The sequence below is a fragment of the Homo sapiens genome, chromosome 2 (genome assembly GCF_000001405.40).
Source record: "Homo sapiens chromosome 2, GRCh38.p14 Primary Assembly".
Taxonomy (NCBI): domain Eukaryota; kingdom Metazoa; phylum Chordata; class Mammalia; order Primates; family Hominidae; genus Homo; species Homo sapiens.
This window is the reverse complement of record NC_000002.12, coordinates 173253052-173277628: the sequence shown is the minus strand read 5'-3', so window position 1 is coordinate 173277628 and position 24577 is coordinate 173253052. Positions and strand designations below refer to the sequence as shown.

The 24577-nt window shown below is 41.3% G+C and overlaps 1 protein-coding gene and 1 long non-coding RNA gene across 5 annotated transcripts in view, besides 1 other annotated feature; one reads left to right on the top strand and one right to left on the bottom strand.

The window, feature by feature from the left end:
* Window positions 1–24577, top strand: part of MAP3K20-AS1 (MAP3K20 antisense RNA 1) — an 84325-nt gene that overhangs the window by 4408 nt on the left and 55340 nt on the right. Inside the window, exon 2 of the long non-coding RNA NR_033882.1 lies at window positions 6011–6118. This is a non-coding gene — a long non-coding RNA (MAP3K20 antisense RNA 1). The remainder of the gene's footprint in view (window positions 1–6010; window positions 6119–24577) is intronic.
* The window catches only part of MAP3K20 (mitogen-activated protein kinase kinase kinase 20), a 192499-nt gene continuing 177535 nt past the window's right edge, over window positions 9614–24577 (bottom strand). For all 4 annotated transcript variants that reach the window (XM_047444746.1, NM_016653.3, XM_047444747.1 and 1 more), the window contains exons 17-20: window positions 18814–18930; window positions 16492–16566; window positions 13734–13884; window positions 9614–11579 (exon numbers count right to left, since the gene is read on the bottom strand). In XM_047444746.1, coding sequence (XP_047300702.1) covers window positions 10879–11579; window positions 13734–13884; window positions 16492–16566; window positions 18814–18930 — 1044 coding nt within the window. In that variant the 3' untranslated portion in view covers window positions 9614–10878. The remainder of the gene's footprint in view (window positions 11580–13733; window positions 13885–16491; window positions 16567–18813; window positions 18931–24577) is intronic.
* Window positions 12650–13157: an enhancer, noted in NCBI's record as "NANOG hESC enhancer chr2:174129200-174129707 (GRCh37/hg19 assembly coordinates)". NCBI's record gives its function as "activates a minimal SCP1, AML or CMV promoter by ChIP-STARR-seq in naive H9 embryonic stem cells {active_cell/tissue: H9 hESC(naive)}" and the evidence as "EXISTENCE:reporter gene assay evidence [ECO:0000049][PMID:30033119]".

The window sequence follows — 24577 nt, the reverse complement described above, 5'->3', positions numbered from 1 at the left end:
AGGCCCTTGTAGCCTAAATAGCCATGCTTTATATCATTTGCTATTCTCGTACTCTTCTCTTTATGGGCCACAGCTGACAAGACCAGGAATGGACACCTACCCAACATAGGGTCTGCTGAGCAACCCGCAACCTCTGTGGTCTGTTTAAAAAATATGAGCTGGGCCAAATAGACTCTCTTGGCACTTTGAAACAAGAAATATGGAAGGCTTGAAGGTTTTACTGGTTAAAGGTGGGAGCTGCAGCTAAAAGTTCAGGAACTAGCAGCAAGGATGGGAAGGCTGTGGCTGCAAGCTGAAGGAGGGAGAGCAATGAAGATCAGATGGTGGTGGCATGGAAAGCAGCAGCCCTGTGGGGGTAGTGGAATCACATTAATGGCAGAGCACAAGGGCAAGGATCTGCCGCTAGAGCCACCTCACATTCTGAACCATCTCCAGCTCCAGTCTTTATGGGGTTCTACCCTATTACAGTTCCATTTCTTGGACTGCCTTGGGCAAATAGCTAATTTCTCTATGTCTCAGTTTCCTCAACTGTAAAATGGGGATGATAATAGACTCTACCTCATTGGGTTGGTGTGAAGATTAAATGAGGAAAGGTTTTAGAGCCAGGCTTGGCACATACATAATGAATACTCAATAAATGTTAACTCTAATCATAATCATTCTTTCCATTATATGTTTTATACTACGCTACAGAAAATTCAATTGTGTTTGAACTAGATAGAATGAGACTGTTTCTTATAGAGAAACCTCATTAAAACAAGCAGGTGAAGCTGGGTGTGGCAGCTCACGCCTGTAATTCCAGCACTTTGGGAGGCCAAGGTGGAAGGATCACTTGCATCCAGGAGTTTGAGACCCCAGCCTGGGCAACCTCTCATCTCTACAAAAAATAAAAAAAAATTAGCCAGGTGTAGTGGTGTGTACCTGTAGTCTCAGCTCCACAGGAGGCTGAGGAGGGGGGATCGCTGGAATCTGGGAGGTCAAGGCTGTAGTCAATTCTGATTGCTCCACTGCACTCAGCCTGGGTGACAGACTGAAACCCTGTCTCAAAAAACCAACATAACCAAGCAGATATTGTTGATTTCCTTTTGAGTTTCCTTGGAACTTCATCTGTATTGGTAAAGAAGAATGGGACTTCTGAAAATTGCCGAATGTCTTAGTCAGTTTGAGCTGTTTTAACAAATTACCATAGACTGGGTGTCTTGTCTCAACACAAATTTATTTCTCACAGTTCTGGAGGCTGGAAAGTCAGATCAGGCATGGTTGGGTTCTGGTTAGGGCCCTCTTCTGGGTTGCAGGCTGCCATCTTCTTGCTGTATCCTCATGTAGGAGAGGAGAGGAGGGAAGGGGAGAGGAGAGTAGGGGAGAGGAACGAAGCTCTCATCTCTCATGACTCTCCTTATGGGATACTAATTCCATCATGAGGGCTCCACCCTCGTAAGCTGATTACTCCAAAAGCCCCTGATATGGTTTGGCTTGGTGTCCCCACCCAAATCTCATCTGGAATTGTTATCCCCACATGTCAGGGGAGGGACTGGGTGAGAGGTGATTGGATCGTGGGGATGGTTTCTCCCATGCTGTTCTCATGAGAGTGAGTTCTCAAGAGAGCTGATGGTTTTGAAGTGTGGCACTTCCTCGTTCTTGCTTACATTCCCTCCTGCTGCTTTGTGAAGAAGGTGCCTGCTTCCCTGTTGCCTTCCACCATGATTGTAAGTTTCCTGAGACTTCCTAGCCATGCTTCCTGTTAAGCTTGCAGAACTCTGAGCCAATTAAACCTCTTTCCTTTATAATTACCCAGTCTCAGGTAGTGCTTTATAGCAGTGTGAGAATGGACCAATACAGGCCCCATCTTCAAATACTGTCACATTGGAGATTAGGGTTTTAGCATTGGAATTTGTGGGAGGACAAACATCCAGTTCATAACAACCATCTAGTGTTGGATTAATAGAGCTCTTATTTTTGGTAAACTTATTTTGAGCCTTTGATAAAATAAGATAGTGATTTGCTAAAATGGCTCAAATTTAAGGAAAGGTCATCATTGAGTGTGTTATATTAAATGCAGGAGCTAGTGATTGTTAGACATTTTTAAGACAAAGACAAAGAATAACAGAGTAGGCTAAGTCCCAAGAACTTCAGGTTCAGAGCCTCAGGTCCCTCAGGCAAGGATGAAGTGCAAACAGGGGAAGGGGGAGTGGAGAGTGGAGAGGAATGCAGAAGGAACCAAAGAACGGCAAAGGAGTGGGGAACAAATTATTCCTGTTCCACAAAATAAATGCTTTTTCTTTTGCCATTTTATGTTTCAATTTCTTTCTTTCCAAGTTTCCAATTAGGTCAATAGGGAAATAATTCTCCTTACCTCTGAGACTTGTTCCTGAATTAACAGTGGAAACCAGAGAGAATGCAAGGCTGATACCTAACACCCAGTGGGTGTCAGCTAATGTTTGCTTGACTGAATTGAGCATTAAAACTTATTTTAAAGACGACTTTGTTAGAAATATTTATTCCATAAAACACATAATCTCTGTATAGCACCATGAAATCTGGAGGAAACCAACACAGGCCTGGTGAAGGAAAGAAGAAATGTAATTGCCTTCATGTCTTGCTTTTAGAAGCATTTACTCATCTACTAATTCATGAAGACTCTTCCGCTGTTTATGGAGACCCAAGAAAATTCAACTGTACCATAACAAAAGCATTAACTTACAGCTGATGGACCTCATGAACACTGTTTTTACTGGAGATTAAACATTTCACAAGGCATAAGCTTCAATGAGAACAGAGAAGAGCCAGAGCTGGGTAGCCTTGAGCTCTGCCTTTGCCCATAGCTGGCTGAGTGATGGGGCAGGTGCTTCAGAACCCTGCAGGCTTTGGTTTCTTTATCTGCAAAATGAGCACATTGAACTTCTGTAAATGGTCTTCAAGATGCCTTCCTGCTCTAACACTCAGTTGAACTATGCTTAGGTCCAGATTTTAGACTGGGAAAACGTGAAACAAGCAGAAACAGCAAAGCTTAGAAAAGAAGACACCAAATTACAATGGGGAGGCCAGAGATTTAACTGGTACCTGTGGTTGCAAGCCTATGAGATGACAGCCCCTGCCCTCAATAATTCTCACTTCCTGGTGTTTGTACCCTTGTGCAGTCCTCCCACATTGAGTAGGCTGACCTGTGTATAGCTGTCTATACACTAGGATCTTACAGAAATGGCTGGGTGTGACTTCTGAGGCTAGGTCATGAGAGATATTGTAACTTGCACCTTATCTTCCTGATCACTCTTTCTGCGAGAATCCAGCCATCATGTCATGAGGATCCTTAAAGATGTGGAAAGGTCCACATGGGGAGGAGCTGATGCCTCCTAAGAACACCAGCACACTCTTGGGAGGACCATCTTGAAAGCAGATTCTCCAGCCCCAGTCAAGCCTTCAGATGAATGTGGCTCCAGTCAATGTCTTGATTGACACTTCATTAGAAACCCAACCCAGAACCAGCCAGCTAAGCCACTCCTGAATTCCTGACCCACAAGAACTCTGTGAGATAGTAAATGCTTGTTCTTATTTTAAACCACTAAGTTCTGGGGTGATTTGTTACATAGTATTACATAGCTATTATGCTGTCTGTAAGAAAAATATAGTTGTTCTTGTTGAGTGTTTATATACCATGCATTGGTTTTTTCACCTTCTTTTTATTTATTTATTTATTTATTTATTTTTTGAGATGGAGTTTTGCTCTTGTTGCCCAGGCTGAAGTGCAATGATGCGATTTCGGCTCACTGCCACCTCTGCCTCCCTGGTTCAAGTGATTTTCCTGCCTCAGCCTCCAGAGTAGCTGGGATTATGGGCACCCACCACCATGACTGACTAATTTTTGTATGTTTAGTAGAGACAGGGTTTTACCATGTTGGCCAGGCTGGTCTCGAACTTCTGATCTCAGGTGATCCACCTGCCTCAGCGTCCCAAAGTGCTGGGATTACAAGCGTGAGCCACTGCCCCGGCCTCACCTTCCTTCTTTAATTTAGTCATTCATCCGAAAATGTATTGAAAACTTACTCTGAGCCAAGTGATAGAAATTCAGTAATAAAGTTTCCTACCTTCAAGAAGCTTATAATCTGGGAAGCTGGGGGTTGGGTGGGTGGTAGTCAACTATAAATGCCTATAACAGATGCCCCTTGTATTCTTGCTTTAACATCTCATTTTCTGTTTCTGCCAGTGTTTTGAGTACATAAACTTTGGCTGTGACTTCAGTGGTTGAAGAGAATGCTCATCAGTTACTGCCACATTATTGTTTTTACTTTTAATAAGAGTGATCAATACCATCAGCTCCCCCTTTAAATGCTAATGAATGCTTTAACACAGCAGATGCAGACATACAGTACACTGCAGATTAAAATTAGGCACAAAATTAAATTGCTTACACATAGCAAAGGAGCCAGTTTGGACATCTTGATAATCAGCCACTACCAGCTGACAAATCTTGAATTGTCCCCGCACCAACACAAAGCGTCCTCCAGTCTCAGCCAGAAGAGGCATCATCTGGCAACTAATGAGGGTGCTGGTGTCTTTGGGTAAGAGAAAGGAAAGGAAAACTGCCAGGGTCAGACTTTCAGTAAAGCTTTGTGTACTTTTAGAAGCAGTCACAGCAGGACTGTAGAGGGCACTAGGATCAGGAACAATTCATATTCATTAAAAAGACAGAACTTTGGGCCTCTGAAAAGGAAAGCCAAATAGTGAGATTGTATGAATGTCCAAAAGGACATTCACACGACTGTGTGTGAATTTCACACATATCTATGTGCGAATTTCACACTAATCGGGAAATTAAATTGACATAATGACATTCATTCCATGAAATGCTTTCTTGACAAAAACATCTCTCAATATTTATATAATTCAGATCAAAATATTTTATCTATAAGTAGAGTCACACACGACTATTTGTGAACATACATAGTATTTCTATTCTTTTTTATTCCTATGACAGGTGTTTATTGAGAACTTGCATTTATAGTGCTATGCTAGGTGTCAAAATTCAAAATGGAAAATTAGCACAGTTCACTATGATACAAGGGGCTTCTTAGGAAAAATAGACTGGCCTTTCCCTTGGGGTCTATGGCATACCCAGAATCTGCTCTCAGTAATACACTCCAAATCTTAATCAATGTCTCAGAGTTGTACTTAGGGGCCAACTCACATTAGCAAAGCTCACAGGAGAGTGATGTATAAAATTAGAATGGTAATTATTTCAACATTAGACCTAACTCCTAGCTGGATTGGAGACTTCTGTTAAGGTCACTTAATGAACAAGAAATTAGAACAAGAATTTAGATGATTTGATGTGTGTTAGCCTGATTAATAAGTTAATCAATTAATCCATTCAACAAATAGAGTATCAACTATGTATTGGAGAAAGATTATCAACTATGTATTGGAGATACACAGGGGATCAAGATAGGCACAATCCTGCTTTCATGAAGCCGATAGTCCAGTGAGGCATACAGAGGAGCAAATCTTGGGAGATTTATTACAATAGAGGGGGATAAATATGATTGAGTAACCAAAAGTTGCTATGTGAGTCACAAGGGCGGGCCTAACTCAGACACGGGGATCTGGAAAGGTTTCCTGGAGGTGGTAATGTCTCAGCAGAGAGCTGAAAGGTGACTTAAGCAGACAATACAGGGGCAGCTGGATCGGGGGTAGGGGGAGAGAAGGAGTACAAAGTTTTGAAGACAAAGGAGGGTTTGGCAGCTAATTCAGTGTGGCTGCAGTGTGATGTGTGGTTGCTTCACTGTGGGGGTGACGCAGAAGAGGTTCAGAGGAGCGGGATTATAGCACCATCTCGACACCAGGTACATATTTCTCAGGCTGAATGGATTCTCACATCACTTTGGGAGGGATTATGCTGGACAATAGTATCTAGTTTACAGGGCCACTACCTGAGATTGGGCAGGTCGTGCCCTGCATGAAAGTCTTGCTTGCCCAGTATGGCTAACCTTTTCCTTTGTGGATTGCGTTCTTCTAGGCTTCCATTGACGACCAGCTTTGGCTGTTCCAACTCACCACAGCCTCTGAAAGACCCATGCTCTCTTTGGATTGCTTGGTACCTGCAGCACGTTTCCATGCCTGGGAGGTATTGTAGCCATTTCATCAATTAATTCTCAGAGCTTAGTCTTATTTCCCTTATTGTCAAGTTCTTGGGCAGCACTGCACTGTACTCACAGAGCACCTGCAAGGGAGTGGGTTTGTCAGGGTGAAGTAACGGTGCAAGAGAGTGTGTGATAAAGGGCCTTGGAGAGGAGCAGAATGGAGAAGTGGCTGGAGCTGTGGGGGAGGTCTCCAGGGAGGCAGGACTTCAGCAGGACCCTGAAAGCTGAGTAAGTTTCATCAGGGTGGTGGTAGGCAAGGAGTTTCTCTGGTAGATTTGAGTAATGGGACATTGGTTATAGAAACTGAATCTTGATTTTAGTGTTGAATGAACTATGAGGTTATAAATCTTTTTCATTCTGTAACTCTGTTGGTTCGGTCATGCATTATTTGGTCAGCTGGTACACTAAAGCCTTGACAGTTTTGACCCTCCATTTGGCACTTTTTCCACTTTAGCAATCTCATAAGCCGGTTCCAATAACAGCAAATAGTAAGAAGCTGAGTCCAGGTCTTTCGCTCTAATTTCCCCAGGGCACCCCAGCTTCACTGTAGTTTCTCAGATCCAATGATGGCAAGAGAGTTGATACACCTCCTAAGTGCAGTCTCTATAATTTAAAATTTCAGGGAGGTTACATCCTGAACAAGGTGGCACAGCTACATCATGACATCTTAAAATTGAGTAGTTTCTGAGAACCAGAGTTGTAGAAGCATACCACATCTGTACCAACTTGTTGAAGTAAAAGGATAAATTGTAGAGAAGGTACTTAAAAAGCTTATCAAATATAAAATATTTTGGTACAACTGAATTGGAAAAGTTGCAGTTAAGTCAGAATGCCTTGAGGTGTATCCAGGATGTTTTGACCCTGCCATTTTGAACTATTGGAGATTCTGACCCTACTGTTTTGATCCTGGAGACATTTTGACTTTACTTATACATGAAACATTTTGATCGGAATTATATAAATATTGAGAAATGTTTTTGTCAAGAAAGCATTTCATGGAATGAATGTCATGTCAATTTAATTTCCTGATTGGTTTCCTATCCAACATAATGCTGTTTCCCATTTGTGTATTATTTTTTTCAGGCAAGTTCCCACTCTGTCACCCAGGCTGGAGTGCAGTGGCATGATCTTGGCTCACTGCAGCCTTAGCCTCCTGGGCTTAAGAGCTCCTCCCATCTCAGCCTCCCCAGTAGCTGGGACTACAGACATGTGCCAGCACACCTCGCTAATTTTTGTATATTTTGTAGACACAGGGTCTTATTATGTTGCCCATGTTTCAAACTCCTGGGCTTATGGGATCCTCCTGCCTCAGCCTCCCAACGTGCTGGGATAACAGGTGTGAGCCACTGCACCTGGCCAGATTTTTTATTGTACTGATTTTTTTCCCATGGAATCGATTATTTTCAATTTTAATTTTACAATGAAGATTTGCATATCAATTTTTTGTTGTTATTCATACTGCTCGTTACCAATTATAGCTTCTGCCACTGTGAGTTTTCGTTTATAGTTACTGTTTCTTACCTAATTTTCCCAGGTCAGATTTTACTGTTCTGAATTTTACTGTAAATAGTTTTAAATATTATACTTTTTATTTTTATGAGCAATATTCATTATAAATTGGCTGAAAACAATTGCTAATTGTATTTCTTTCAGAAGTAGTCCTTGATTAAAAAAAAAATCTCCAGTTCTCCTAGACAGATTTGGGATTATCCAGTTATTCAGCCTAGGTCCATGGTATTGCTAATGTGGTGACTGTGCAAAGAGCTAAACATCCTGCTTTGTCTGGGCCTTGCCTGGACTAAAGACTGCCTCGATGGTAGCAACCAGTGTAGACTTGGCACTTCCAAACTAGCTCTGAAGCCTATTTAGGGAAAATCTCCACATTTAGAGGTTCCCTGTCCAAGATATACTCTTTCGATTTGGTTCTACTGTAATTTTTTTCTCCTAATCCTAGAATAATATCCCTTTCCTTTTTATTTTCTTCTTCTTTTTTTTGGTCTTAACCACCTCACTCCTTGCAACTAATAGTTTCTCATTGTTGGCTACTAATTTATTTTTATGGGGAAAAAAAAATCCTGTTAATCCCTGCTTTGCTCTTGACTTACATTGATCTTTCAACCTGGCAAGTGACTTTTGGTGAATAAGCATCATTAGGAAAAGAAAAAAATAGAACATCCAACTTATTATTTCTTTACAGTCAAGAAGCAGACTGCAGATGTTCTTACTCTGATTTTGTCTGGGAGCATTGATGCTGACAAGTATTTTTCCATGAGATATTACAAAGTGGTCAGTTTTGTGGGCTGGTGGAATAACCTCTTTGCAGTCACTGACTGCACTAAATAGGGCTGAGATCATTGAGTTATTTTATTACCAGCTTGGATTCCCTACCCCATAACCGAAGAAAGCAAGATGGAAGAAAGTGGCATGAAACTAGCAACGATCTGCATAGTGCCTTTTAAACTAGACTCTTCAGCAATTCCCCAGAATGCAAATTTTGTTTCACAATGAAGGCCATACTTTGTGTTCCTTTCAGAGTGACTCGGTCAAGACTGTTCATCTATTTATCCAAAAATTCCGATCACAGAAAATATTTTATTGCTTATTTAGAAACAGCATGATATTAAGATAGCATATTTTGCATTAGTCTACTTTAAATGAAGGACAAAAAGCAAAAATAATTGAAAACAGGCTGTGCTTGATAGCTTCATGAGAAAGAATCATGGTGGAGCTGAAAACCTTAGAAGTTGGTTACACATGATGGAAAAGAGGCCCTCACTAACTGACTACACCATTCCCATTGCTTTTGCTTGTAAATACATCTGGCACCCAGTAAAACTTTATAAAATCAAGTTGTTGAATCAATGTTTAGGTGATGACAACTTCCCTTGTAAATAAAGGTCATTTCCTATAATTTTGACTTTAGTATTGATTGATTGATTGATTGATTGAGACAGGGTCTTGGTCTGTTGCCCAGACTGCAGTGCAGTCACGTCTCACTACAGCCTTGACCTGCCAGGCTCAAGTGATCTTCCTGCCTCAGTCTCCTGAGTGGCTGGGACTACAAGCAAATGCCACCATGCTCAACTAATTTTTGTATTTTTTTGTAGAGATGGTGTCTCCCTATCTGACCCAGATAGGCTGGTGACCCAGGCTGGCCTTGAACTCCTGGGCTCAAGCAATCCTCCTGCCTCAGTCTCCCAAAGTGTTGGGATTACAGGCGTGAGCCACCATGCCCCACCCACGTTGACTTTAATGCTACCGAAATACAGTTTTCCCCACCAGGCCTCAAGTAATGTATCACACACAGCAGGGGAGCTACCCTGAGAACAAATGCATGTACTCTGATGACCAGCTTCTTTTAAAAAAGAATTCAAACCCACAGAATTAGAAGAGTGTCCTCTGGATTTCTACAGAGCACTGAGAATCCTATGTAGGGCTTAGTGAATGCTAAACAGGGTTAGTGAATGCTGAACAGAATCTCAGAATATTGAAAGTAACATTTATTGATTTGACATACAATAAGTTTGTTGCTACCTGACTTTTTGGTTTGTAAAACATGAAGCATTTCACAAGTTGGATCCCACCATTTCTGCCCTAAGCTGCAGACAGTCTCCTTGCACCCCCACTGGTTTACCTCTTTGCCCACAGCTGCTCAGAGCTGTCTTGCTGCAAGGCTGATATTTACTGTCTTACTCCAACAAGGATGTTGGTAATTTTAAATTTCTCTGGCTTTTAGCTTGTGATGTTATTGTCTTGCTCTGTGTCTGTTTTCTTTTAGATTTTAGATTTCTGACATCCCAAGAGGCCTTTATGGAGTGTTGTTTTATCCTCTTTGCTCCTTTGGTGAAATTTAGAAAATAGTATTTGAAAGCAGTCGCTGGGAACTTAGGAAGAGAAAGAACCACAAATCTAGGCAATTTAAATCTTTGGTTTCTGATAAATCGTAATGAATGAGATATGCATCATATTCAACATTAAATTCAGTAACTTTTTTTATTACTGAAAAATGACAAGCCAGATCAGTTCAACTCTGACCATCATACAGACACAAATATCTTACTAAAATAAATACTAAATACTAACCAGCAGGGCTGAGCCAAGGATGAGATGAGTGAGGTACCTGCCTTGGGCACAAAATTTAAGGGGACATCCAAAAAAAAGAGGGGGAAAGAAAGAAAAGAAAAAAGAAGCAACAAAAAACCTCAAACCAAAAAACTCGATAATCAAGCTAAATGATATTTTAATGCAATATTTAAAAAAATAAATGCAAAAATTATGATGAACAAAATATCAAAATGTTAAAGACAAGATCAGTAACAGTGCCTTGCCAGGCCATATTGCAGCCTCAGCCAAAAGGAAAAATCAGTAACATTCATCTTATCTTTTCCTAAAAATTTGATTTTTTTGTTGACCTCATTTTCCTTCCCCTTGTCCTGGCCCTGCTAACCAGAATATCAGTGGTTAGGGTAAAAAGATGGCATAACCTTTCCTCTAAAAATGTTCACTCAAGGCAGAAAATATGTGTAGTGATTTTCAAGCCTAGTTATGATCACTGGGTGACCAATATCCATAATTTTGGCCCTGGTTTGGCTATAGTCTCAATTAGAAGGTATTTCCCAATCCAAAAACTGGAAGTGTTGTCTTTTCGTTAATTCAATCTGAAGGGATCATATTATCAAAAACCATTACATTTCTTTTTTTTTTTTTTTTTAACCTGCTTAGAAAAGCTATGTAGTTCAATTCATCAAAAGTTTCTCCATCCACGGTGGTCCCCTCTGGCTCTCTCTTTATTGGTTTTGGCGGGAGATGGCCTGTGGGGCTTTTTCCGGTATTCCACTTTTGTCCAGCCCCCTTCGCTGACTTTGCTGTCCTCTTCACTGGCTCTTGAGTCAGTCTCAGGGTGCAAAGGCATCCCTGGTATGGTGTTGGGTTGGTGGAGGTCCCTGGGGCTTCTCTTGAAGTCAGGCGACTGGTGAGGATTGAGTGCTGACTGAGAAACCCTGTAGAACTTTCCAGGGTATCTTCCTCTTGAAGGAGTGGAATGCTGACTCTTTCCACTGTATCTTCCTCTAGGAGAAGAATTGAGTGATATACTACCACGTCCATATTTGTTCCTGCTTCTGTCTGAGTATCGACCCCTCTCTGAAGAGGTGTCAGTATTGCCACTGGAAAAGCCACTGTCCCTAGAGTTGAGATGTAGGGAAGAGAAGTTTTTGGTCAGTCCATACTGAGTAGGAGACGAGCTTCTGGACTGGTTCACAGGTGTAATCTGTTGATACTTAATGGGCACCTGGGGCCGTCTCACAGCAGCAGCGTAGGAATCCTGGCCATCAAAGTGTGAGAAGAACGGTGACCCCAGAATAGGATTGCTCTGGGAACGCTGTAAAGAAGTGTTGGATGCAATCTGCCGCATCCTCAGAGTATCTAACCACTGGCAATCAGCACCTGCGGGAGAAATGGAAATGAGCATCTTTTAAGCCACACTAAAGCTGCATGTCTAATTCATACGCCTGTCTTAGGATAATTCAGGGCTGTTTGGGATGCTCTAAGCTTTACCATTCATAGAAATTCTAGGCTATGTATAAGGACGTTTCTTTTATTACAAATACTTTAAAAAATAAGGACATTTACACTTATTCAATATATGCTATGTGCTTGGCATTGTTCCATGGGCTTTACTTACACTATCTCATTTAATCCTCTCAGTAATCTTCTTAGGTAAACACTAATAGTTTTATTCTATAAATGAGGAAGCTTGAGAGGTCAAATGACTTGCCCAAGATCACTCAGTCAATAATACCAAGTCCTTCTGCATCTAAATCCCATCTTCTTCCTACATAGTTGTGTTGTTACTTCTAGAAAGTATGTTCAGGTGGCAGGGGCATGTTTAGTAAACAAAAGGTTTGTTTTGCCACCTGCATTTTTAAAACCTCAAGGACCCTAAATGCAGATAAGAGAAATGAGGTTCCGAAGGTTGAGACAGCTAGAGATTGTTTGGAAGAAAGACCGTTCACGTGTCCACAGGAGAGATCCTGAGGCTCGGGAATAAGAAGTATTTTCAGCATAAAAAAATGAAGCTGCATTGGCAGATAGGAAGAAGTTAAGATAAAAGAAAATGGTGAATTAACAAGAACCATTTAGTAAGCTATATTTCAGTGAATAAGCAAGTTCCTCACACCTGAGATCTTTTCTGTTTTCCCCCGAGCCTGAACAACGTTACCCATGTTCTAGAGTTCCTGGGTGGTCCTCCCAGCCTCAGCTTCCTCAGCTACTCCACCCCCTGCTCACGCAGATAGTGCGCGTGGAGAGTATCAGAGCATGCACATGTCTCTGTCTCCTCACTGCCTGGGCACAGGTGACCCCGAGCTCTGAAGTGAGTGACTTGTCCAGACAATTCCAGAGACTCCTCCCAGGCTTCAGTCCATCACAATGCCTTCTTCTGTTGTTGTTGTTGTGTGTATGTGTGTATTTTATTGTGGTAAAAACCACATTTTCCATCTTAGCCATTTTTAAGCCTCTAGTTCAGTAGTGTTAGTATATTCACATTGTTGCGCGGATCTCTGTAACTGTTTCATCTTGCAACACTGAAACTCTATACCCACTAATCTCTACCTTCCTCTTTCTCCATTTCCCCTCCCTTCTCCCCTGCCCCCTGACCGCCACTTGTTAACTGTCTTCTACTTCCTGTTTCTGTGACTTTGACTACTTTACATACGTCACATGAGCAGTAGCATACAGAATCACAATGCCTTCTTTCCTCGCCTTGACTTCTCTGGAATTTTGCCTTCCAATAGAACCCTGATTTTGCTCAGTCTCCATCCCCCTCCATGTAGCCACGTGATCGGGAGAGTTGACTGCATTCTGGCTCCAGGGATCGACTTTAATTAGTTTAAGTCAGATGTGCTCATGCTATGTTTAGGAACGGACAGGTTGCTCCATTCTGGCCAAAGCAGAATTGCTGACGGGTAGTCTGTTGGGGGTTTCTAGAAAAGTTTTCCTTACTCCTATATATAAGAACAGGTAGGGACCTAACCCGTTATTTCCTCTGGGCGTTGTGATATCTTTGTGTGATGACTGTAAACAGGAGAGGAGCCGAGGGCAAAGGCAGCCTATTGAGCATGGCAGGGCAGAAAGAAGGGAAGGTTCATTCCACTCTCTGAATATGGTTGAGCCAGCTTATCTTACTGCACCTGGAGCCTGCCCTACCTCTGGGCTTCTTGTTATGGAAGATAATAAATTTTATTACAGTTTAAATCAGTGGCTTAAGGACTTTAGAGTTGTTCTTAATCACTGGGAAGGCTCCTTAAAATGCAGACTGCAGCTCCTATCCCCAGAGTTCTGATTCAGTAAGTCTGGGTTTGGGCCTGAGCATCTGGATTTCTAGCAAGTTCACAGGTGATCCCGATGCTCCTGGTCCTGGGGCCACACTTGGGGAATTATTGGAGTAAGCCAGTTGCAACTGGGTTTTCTGCTACTCGAAGCTCAAAGATAGATCTTAACTGATTGAGGTGGTATCCTCTGAGTCTTTAGATCATCTGGAAATGTCATAATTAAGTTTCTGGAATCTAGCACACATCTAATACGGGAACACTAACTTACTTGAGTCGGACCTGCTTCCAGGGTTGCCATCTGAATTGGTGAATAATGTCTGAATGGCAAGTTGGACTGCTTTCACTTCATCCTGAGGTTTTGTTCTACTCCACTGAATCGAATGGACATGTTTAGTGCTTTTTGGAGTTCTAACATCACTCTGGTAAAACAAACAAACGAAAAAGACAAAAAAAAGACAAATAGAAACATATGACCAAATAGACACACATATATAAAATGGGAAAGAAAGTCATCCAGGTTATTATATCACTTCAGTTTCACCTCTTAGAACACTATCATAATGCACTAGGAAAATATTCTGAACAGTTGGCCCAAATATGCTAATTCAATGAAAAGAAAAATTTTAACCACTTTATTTCTTAGTGGGTTATAGCACTTATTCCTTAATGGATTATAACATAAATTTCTTAGTAAACTATAGTAGCTAAAAAATATGGTTGTCTTTTCCCAGAATTTATTATATTTGACAAATCTCAACTTACCTCTTTGTTTAATAAGAAATAAAAAATTACATCTTCTATTTATAGTACTTGATGACAGCTATTTTGTTGAATAAATGAAAATCTGACCACCATGTTTGCCTAAGACTGAATTTGGATCATCAAGGAAACTGAGTGAAGGTGGTGGGGTGAATTACCTGCACGGAGGGGAAAGGGTCTCAGATGCAAAAGTGAGACAGGATCAAGAAGTAAGAAATGGGGACCAGGAAAAGGAGAGGACACTAGGTCAAGACACATTACTTTCTTGTTCTGAAATCTCCCTCCTCACTAGCTGTCACCAATCAGTGTCAATTAAAGAGTCTCCAGGATTCAATATGGTTAGGGAAATCTGTTTTAAAAAACTCTGAAGTGAAAAACCCAGACAAAAGTGGCATATCATCATGGGGTCTGAAAAAGGAGGAGGAGGGAGAGAGAAGAAGAAAAAGAGAACTGGGTGTGCTGTCTCCAAAACTGTCTAAGGCAGGCAGAGGTAGAATCTGGTTGTTCTAATTGTCCGATTACTAACAAGAGGGCTTTTCCTGGGTAGTGAGGACCAGTTAACAGGCTGTAGAGTAGTCTAGTTTCCAAGTTCCTCAAGACCAACCAGCCTCTTTTGTTTGGGTTTTGCACCTTGCAAGCAATGCTTTGACAAGTAATATAACTTCTCAGATGCCTCATCCCTGACAACCTGTGCACCCCAGCAGGTGAGGATAAATAACTGCTGTAAAACTTTTTGGCTTCCAGCCTGGATAAGTGGACTGGCCAGAGTTTGTATTGCTTTGCTTTTCTTTTTTTTTTTCTTTTTTGAGACAGTTTTGCTCTTGTCTCCTGGGCTGGAGTGCAATGGCGCAATCTCAGCTCACCACAACTTCTGCATCCAGGGTTCAAGCGATTCTCCTGCCTCAGCCTCCTGAGTAGCTGGGATTACAGGCATGCACCACCATGCCCAGCTAATTTTTGTATTATTAGTAGAGATGACGTTTTACCATGTTGGCCAGGCTAGTCTCGAACTCCTGACCTCAGGTGATCCACCCGCCTTGGCCTCCCAAAGTGCTGGGGTTACAGGCTTGAGCCACCGTGCCTGGCCCAGGGTTTGTATTTCTAATATTGAAAAGCCAAATCCTGGCAGCCCAGGAAACCATCAAAATGCCACACTCACAGAGTCCTCTTTGAGGTGGACTTCATCTTACTGCAGCCACTGGGAGCTAACAGGGTAGCCAGGGAAGCGCAGAAAGTGTTTTTTATAGTCAGAAAACATGGAATTGACTTCAACAATTCTGTCAGTGAGGACCTCACACCTCAAGACTTCCTTTCATCTCTCTGAGCCTATTCTTCCTATCTGCAAAATGAGGATAATAATATCTTTCAGTATTTTTTTTTTTTTCTGGAGACAGGGGTCTCACTGTCTCACCCAGGCTGGAGTGCAGTGGTGTGATCTCGGCTCACTGCAGCCTCAACCTCCTGGGCTCAAGCAATCCCCCGACTTCAACCTCCCGAGTAGCTGGGACCATAGTCATGTGCCACCACACCTGGCTACTTTTTGTATTTTTTGTAGAGATAGGGTTTCATAATGCTGCCCAGGCTGGTCTCAAACTCTTGGGCTCAAGTGATCTGCCCACCTCAGCCTCCCAAAGTACTGAGATTACAGGTGTGAGCCACTGCGCCTGGACGATATTTTTCAGTATTGATTTACATGAAGTTAGTGTGATCAAACTGGTGTAAGCACCTCTAATAGTGCCTGGTTCATGGTAGATCCTTAATAAATGTTTCTTGAATGAATGAATTGATGAATGAATGAAATGCATGTCCCTTTGATGGTGGGTGCACACTAATATTTCCAGGTGTGCCAAGACTGTACTATAACTGTTGCCTTCCACCCACTCCCACCGGGTCTACGTACCTTGTAAGGTGTATGTCCTACCAGCCATGAAGATCTTGTTGATTTAAAAAAAATTAGTATTAACTATTAGTATCCCCAATACCAAACATCTTACATGGTATACAGAAGGTGTTCAATCCATAACTAATGAATGACTGAAGTACTACCTCAGTCGCTATCTGGGTAAGTTTATCCTGTTCTCTTTTCTTCCCAACACGTTGTGAGAGAAATTATATTGATCTTCCTATGTTCATGTTGGTTGGTTTACTCCCAATAAATTATATGCTCTGGGTATATCTCCCAATAAATTATATGCTCTGAGATAACAGATAAATTTATATTCATTAACTGATGGTGAGGCCACCAGCCTCTTGCCCCCAGAGCTTACCTCATATGTGACAGTGCACTCCACAGTCTGACTTTTTGCTATTCCTACAATCCACTTCTCCATTACAAATGGTGGCTGAAAAACAAAAGTTAGGATGGTGTAGTACCATAACACAGTCTGCTCTACTATAGTATGTTTCTTTGAGGCCGGTTGTGCCATACACAATTAGCAAATAGGGGCATAATATCAGATTATCATGAAAGCCTTGTTGGTTCTCATGTGATCACTCACAACATGCTAATGTTTGAAGTTTTGCTTTTCATAAGACATCCTTTTGTATATTTGTAAACAGCTAGTCATGGCCTCCCACAATCTTCTTTTCCGATATAACATTTGCTATCACTCAATCCTATCATTAGGTCATTAATTCTTGCTAAAGTTTGAAGCATCAGTTGGAAAACTTCCCAACAATTAAGAGAAATCCATAGCAATATGAGAAGACCCAGAAGTGCTTTCCTTGAGTAAAGCCGTGGCTGGTTTAGTGGCTTCAACAATCGCTCTGCTTTCCATGACATCACACTATCCAGCAAAGCTGCACATACACATGAAGAAACCATGGTTATGTTTTCCCACTATATTAAAACAAAGGATTAGTGAGGAAGCCTGTAGCTTTGATCCTATTTTAATTATGATAAAAACAGCCTCAGAAATAAGCTGTACTCTCCTGCCATCCCCCTTTCACTTCAGGTTTAAGGCTGCAAAGGAATGACTGGCTGTGAGCTGGGTTCAAAGAAAATGTGATAGAGATTTAGCTGGGCTAGGTTTTCTTTGAGACTGAGTCTCACTCTGTCGCCCAGGCTGGAGTGCAGTGGTGCGATCTTGGCTCACTGCAACCTCTTCCTCCTGGGTTCAAGTGATTCTCAAGGCTGAGCCTCTCAAGTAGCTGGGATTACAGGAGCACGCCACCACACCTGGCTCATTTTTTGTATTTTTCGTAGAGATGGGGTTTCACCATGTTGTCTAGGCTGGTCTCCAACTCCTGGCCTCAAGTGATCTGCTCACCTCAGCCTCCCAAAGGGCAGGGATTACAGGTGTGAGCCACTGCACCCAGCCTGGGCTAGTTTTTTGTTGTTGCTGTCGTTTGTTTGTTTTAAATTAGGATTATTATTGTTTCGGTTGATGTTTAAAAATTCTATAACTTTCGATTGGTCTGTCCCAGTTCTAGTTTTCTTATAAGCCTGTTAATGTTGCTGTGTGATTTTGTATGTATGGCATGATAGCAGAAACACTTATATTCAGTTTTACAACTCCGTGGTATGGGTGGGGAAGAAAGGAAATATCTTTCCAGTCTTCAAGACAACATACTGTGTCCTGACAAAATAAGAAAAAGGTAAAACCAAGTGACAACCCTTACAGATAAATAATGCCATGGAAATAACTCCTAGATGCACAGTGGAATCCAACAATGAATATCAAATCAATCTGCTTGATGTCCACTTGCAAATTAAAAGGACTTGGTGGTTTAGCACTCTGATGTGCACTCTAATGCATGTCTTTGAAGAACCATTTTAGTTCCCTATTTGTGTTTGTATCTGGGTCCTTTGCTACACGCCCCACTTTCTTCACTGAAACCAAAGACCTGGTGAATAGTGTATTACAGTTAATGGATTATGTGAGGTTATGGTGACTATCCTGTTGACTTCATGGTTATTTACCTGAAGTTGTTGACCTTCTACAATTGAAGTCTCATATGTATTGTTCCAGTATGATTGGGACAGAATTGAATTTTTTTCCATTTTGAGGAGCAAGCTAAGCATTTCCACAAGTCTTTCTTGTTTTCATCAGCATGCTTCCATCAACATGCTTCCACCATTGACCCTGGAGTAGTAACATGTTCTCTGGCCACTCCAGGAATTCATAGGTGTGAACTTAAGGAAGCCATTAAGACTTCACTGTGTGCCTCATAATTAACCTCATCTCAGTCCTTCAGGAAATTGACCTCAACCAAGAAAGTCATTCTCCGGGAAAAGTTTTCCAAAGTTTAAATAGTCAAAATTTGAAGTAAATATTTTCATCGTTCACATTTTCCCTCCTTTAATAAATGGCAGAGTAAGCATAAAGAAATAATAGACAAAAAAATTAAAAAAAAATTAAACGATACCTTTTTGCAGTGCTTTTTAGTTCACACAGCATAAGTAGAATTTTAACAAAAACCTATTATGATCTCAGTCTGCTAAATAAAATGTGCCTTTCAACAGCCAGCTCGAGGCTGAGCTGATGTGAGCATGGACAAGCACAAAAGCACACTGCTGGGGTATTTTAATGTCTTTGTTTGATATCTGTGAATTCAAAAGAGCTTTTAAGCCGTAAATAGAACCCTACCTTTGTCATCTTTAAAATCTCCGCATCAGGTAGGTTAGTGTTGAATGTCACATCTTTTATGTAGGTTATTGCAATTTCATCCCCATCCATCTCCATATACATTTTCCACTTACAATCCTGGAATTAAAAACAAAATTACAGAATTTGAGAAAGTGAAACAATTTTTTTTTTAGTCTCAATATTTCCTAACACATAAAATATTCTAAATGAAGTATTATTGGAGTGGCTTTTTTTTTTTTCCTTTTTCAATAAAAGGACATGAAATTAGATTCCTATGTATATCTAAATAAGCCCCAGTTAGTGCAGCCTTGAGACATAATGTATCAGTGTTAAGTGTTCTATTATAGGAGTTACAAACTCAAAATCCTGAAGGGACTAGGCAGATAATAAAAAGGAGTAAAACCAGGCAGTTTCCTTATAAAGCTTTAAGTGGCAACCTTTTAAAATAGACCCATTTAATTTACATATTAAACATTGTAGGAACATTTTCTCATTGCCACAAAGAAATGTGGGTTTTCTACCTTTCTTGAAACATAAGGCCCTCTTGATCCACCTTTAATTTTCCTAGATTGATAATGATGTGGGTTCAAGAAACTCTCACTTTCCTCTTAATACGAAAGAAAACAACAGTGCAAATGTGATGATGTATGATAACGGACAACTAGGGAGTTATGGGGTGGGTGAGGGACTCTGGGAAACCAAAGAACAGTTCCCCTAAAGGCACAGCTACTTCGTGGCTTCTGTTGATTGTTCCCATGTGGAAATATGAGCCCAGTTTTGCTAGGTCCTTTAATATTTCATGAACAGCTGAGAATTAGGATCCTTATGTAAAACTCTAGATTTTTAAACGATAGTATGTTAATTAAATTTTTAATAAAATCACCATATAATGAAAAAGTGCTTTACACCATTCGTTACCAGGAAAATGCAAATTAAATCCACAATGAGGTACCACTATACACCCATCAGAATGGCTAAGACTGATAACATCAAATGTTGGCTAAGATTTAGAGTTACTGGAACTCTCATATTAATATTAATACATTGTTGGTGGGAATGTAAATGGTACAATTGCTTCAGAAAAATTTTGGTAATTTATTATAAAACCAAATATATGCCTATTCTATGACCCAGAAATTCTACTCCTAGGTATTTACCCAAGAGAAAAGAAAAAAGACTTGTCTAGATGTGTTCTTAGCAGCTTTATCATGTTGACTAGGAAACTTGAAACTAGCCAAGTGTCCATCAAAATGAGAATGGATAAACTGTGATATATGCATAGAATGGAATACTACTTAGCAATACAAAGGAAGACATTATTGATGCATGCAACAATTTGGATCAATCTCAAAAACATTATAGTGAGTGAAAGAACCACACAGAAAAAAAGAACAACCTAATGATTCCATTTATGTGATATTCTAGAACAGACAAAACTAATTAATGGTAGAAAAATTCAGAAGGGTGCTTGCTTCAGCAGATGGGGACTTACAAGGGGTATGAGGAAACTTTCTGGGGGTAGCAGTGCTCTATTGATAGAGGTTTGGGTTACATAGGTGCATGCATTGGTCAAAACTTAGTGAATATATATATTAAATCTGTGTATTTCTCTTTTTAATTAATTTTATAGTGATTATTAAAACAATTTTTTTGAGACAGGGTCTTGCTCTGTCACCCAGGCTGGAGTATGGTAGCATGATCTCTGCTCACTGCAGTCTTGACCTCCCAAGCTCCAGCGATTCTCCCACCTCAGGCTCCTAAGTAGCTGGGACCACAAGCACGTGCCATCATGCTCAGCTAATATTTTCTTATTTTTAATTTTTTGTAGAGCTAGGGTTTCACTGTGTTGTTGCTCAAGCTGGTCTCAAATTCCTGGGCTCAAGTGATCCTCCCACTTCAGCCTCCCAAAGTGCTGGGATTACAGGTGTAAGCCACTGCACCTGAACTGCATTTCTTATTCTAGCACACTGAAATATTTAGGAGGAAGTATACTGATGTCTGCAAATTAATTTAAAATGTATCAAAAAATAAAGATTGATGGATGGCTAGAGGGAGGGGTAGATGGATAAGCCAAGTATATGTGATAAGCCAAGTATAGTAAAATGTTAGTGGTTGAATGGGGGCTAGGAGGGTTCACTGTAAAATTCTTTCAACTTTGCTGTATAAATAATTTAATAATAAAAACGTTTGGGGATAAACAAAGGAAAATAAACTCATGTCTTTGTACCAAATTTGACCCCTGGACCATAAATGCACATTCTCTCTATCTGTCTGTCTGTCTGTCTATCTATCTATCTATCTATCTATCTATCTATCTATCTATCTATCTATCTATTTTTTTAAATTTCTTTTTTAGAGTTAGTGTCTCGCTATGTTGCCCAAGATGGTCTTGAACGCTTGGCCTCAAGCAGTCCTCCCACCTCAGCCTCCCAAGTAGCTGGGATAGAGGCATGAGCCACTGCTCCTGGCTCTGTGTTTTTTGAAGAATGAAGAATCCTGAGGATTAAGGCTAATGTACCAAGCACCTCACATGCTGAAAATGCCCTCATAAATAAGAGTGGACCTGGAATGTTTCCTAGAGCAAGCTCAGACATAATTCATATGGAAAGGCATCCACAAAGAGGCTGTTGAAAGCCTGTCGGCTTCAACAGGAAGCTGGGGGTGCCTGATGTTTTCGGAAAGCCTCTAGATGAATCGCAAGCCAAGCAGGGCCCATGTCTGGCCCTCTTTGGCCAGCCACATTCACAAGACGGAAAGCCGATTAGTGAAGGAAAAGGTCCGTTCAATAAAATGAAAACCTGGTTCTTGGCTAACATAAGTCAAATTAGTTTCTCAGAATTGACAAATCTCTCAGTATTTCTTTGTTTTGGAGCCACTGCCACCCAGGCAATGTGGGTCCTGAGGTAAGTGGGCAGGATAATGACTGTTTGGTGTCATGATTGCTCTTCTCTGAAATAGCAAGAACCTCCTCAAGGCAGCAGCTGGGATAAAAAGCCTTAGAAGAGATGAGTTTACTTAGTTCAGTTTCTTTTGCCTGTCAAGTTTGGGAATTAAGTTAGTCAAAAGCACAGTCAAAAGACCTTGAACTGTGTGAAAACGCCTGAACTTCCCCTGCTTCACTCTCATCTCCTAACCAGGGAGCTCTCCCATGACTTCAAGCTAGAAATCAGACCCTCCTCTGCACACCGTCAGAACGGCTCTGTGTGAAGAAGCGGCTGACAGGAGGAGAACTCAAATTTGTGGAGTGCTTACTATGCTCTAGGCATGTTGCTGGGCACTTACACCATGCTGTTTTATTGGATATCCATCAGAACCCTGAAAGTCAGGACTATTTTCCCTTTAGACGAATGAGAAAAATGAGGCTCAGAAAGATTAAAGAACTTTCCTAGGGTTTCATGACCAATACGTGGTTGACATCAGCACAAGGCTGTGTGACTCCAAAGCTGGAGGAGATACTAATGGGGACAGACAAGCGGGAGAGGTGGCAGGTGAACCTGCTGGATGATTTTGTTGAGCTCCATAAATGGGTCCAGCCATGGACAACAGGCAGGCGGAAGAAGGACCAGAGATTTCGTTGATACAACCAAGAAAGCTAGTGGCCATCATCCTCCCTGCAGCAACTGCTTCCCTGCTCCCCAAAGTCCAACTTTTGGAGAAACACTGATACAAATAATAGGGTTAGAGACCTTTTATTTTTAAATTCTCTTTTTCCCTTCTACTAAAGAAAGGCTTTTACCTGAACCATAAAAGAAGGTAGCTACAGAAGGAATAAAACTATAATCAAGGAAGTCATAAGACAAGGAGGGCATCATTCATTTCACTAAAAAGTAGGTTCTGCTTGTTACAAAGCTGGGTAAGAGAGAAAGAGAATATGCTGCAACATGCAGTGCCCATGTAAATCATTAAGTTAATTTGACAATGGCCTGACCTAACTCCAGGTAGCTTCAGGGCATCTATGATGTCATCGTTGCCTAGTTAACAAAAGTAATCCACAAATAAAGTAATGGAATTCCTTATATTCTGCTCAGTTTCAAATTAGCCTAAGGTATCCTTAATGTTTTTGCCATCTTGTGAGTCATAAATTGTCAGTGAGGATTGTCCACAACTCTGGGATTCAAATGGTTATTGAATTGGACTGGACACACTGCAGACATTGAGATGCCATGAAACCAGTACTTAACTGATCAACCCCGGAAAAGGCTATCATTACAAATAAAATGAATTAAGTCATCAATAATATCACTAAAAATAACAATTCCACAAGTTTATGAGCCTAATATAGGATTTTACTTACATATCTGCAACCTTTTCAGTACCTTGGCTGTGGCAGGGACCAGGTAATGGGCACAGTGGACTCTGATTTTTTTTTTTTTTTTTTTTTTGAGACGAAGTCTCACTCTGTTGCCCAGGCTGGAGTGCAGTGGCACAATCTTGGCTCACTGCAAGCTCCACCCCCTAGGTTCACACCATTCTCCTGCCTCAGCCTTCAGATTCAGAGTAGCTGGGACTACAGGCGCCCGCCACCACGCCCAGCTAATTTTTTGTGTTTTTTTTTTGTATTTTTAGGAGAGATGGGGTTTCACCATGTTAGCCAGGATGGTCTCGATCTCCTAACCTCATGATCCGCCTGCCTCAGCCTCCCAAAGTGCTGGGATTACAGGCGTGAGCCACTTTGCCTGGCCTAGTGGACTCTGATTTTAAAACCATTCACTTTGACCAGGGTAAGATTTTTTTTTTTTTTTTCTGACACAGGTTCTTACTCTGTCACCCGGGCTGGAGGGCAGTGGTGCAATCTCAGCTCACTGCAGCATCAATTTCCAGGGCTCAAGCGATCTTCCCACATCAGCCTCCCAGGTAGCTGGGACCACAGGCGTGTGTCACCATGCCCGGCTAATTTCGCCTTTATTCTTTGTAGAGATGAAGTCTCACTATGTTGTCCAGGCTGGTCTGGAACTCCTGGGCTCAAGTGGTCCTCCTGCCTCAGCCTCACAAATTGCTGGGATTATAGGCATGAGCAACTGCACCTGGCCCAGGTAAACTACTGATTTTAGCTTGAGGTGAGTGATAGAAATGTGGGCACTGACTTTTGAATTAGAAATATTCAAGGGTCACTTTGAATGTCTGTGAACAACTCTCAAAAGCAAACATCTCTCTATTCTGAGGTCCTATGGGAACTGCAAAGTACTCCTTTTTCAAAACCATCTCACCCTGGTAGTCTGAAATGCTCCTGTTATTCACTCCTCTTATTAAGGTGTTGATGATTCCTATTAAAATGGAAACAGTATGGAAAAAAACCATACATTAAGTCATTACTAGTGGGACATTGTGGGGCAAGGTGGGGCAAGATCACAAGTTTAAAGTTTGATTACCTGGGCCTGAATTCCAGTTTTGTCCCTTTTCCTCCCAACCATAGCCAACTTATGTAACCTTTCTGAACCTCAGCATTCTTTACTCAGAAGTGGATTGTGGTGTCATGTGAAGATTAAGATAATGTAAATGCAGTTCCCAGCATTGTGCCAGAACCGAATTAGGAGCTCAAAAAGGAATAATTATCATTATTACCAATATGGTCACCAACACAGCTCCAATTAGCTGGTTTGTCATCTGGCAGCCATAAAAGGGAATGGGACCGAGAACAAGGTAGCTTTGATGGGCAGGAAGGTGTGAAGAGTGGGCTAGAGGAGGGACCCTGCTGGAGTGGGCAGGCTGGGTCAGCGCGTCTCACTTGGGCAGGAGTCTGGGCGTGCAGGGGGCTGTGAATCAT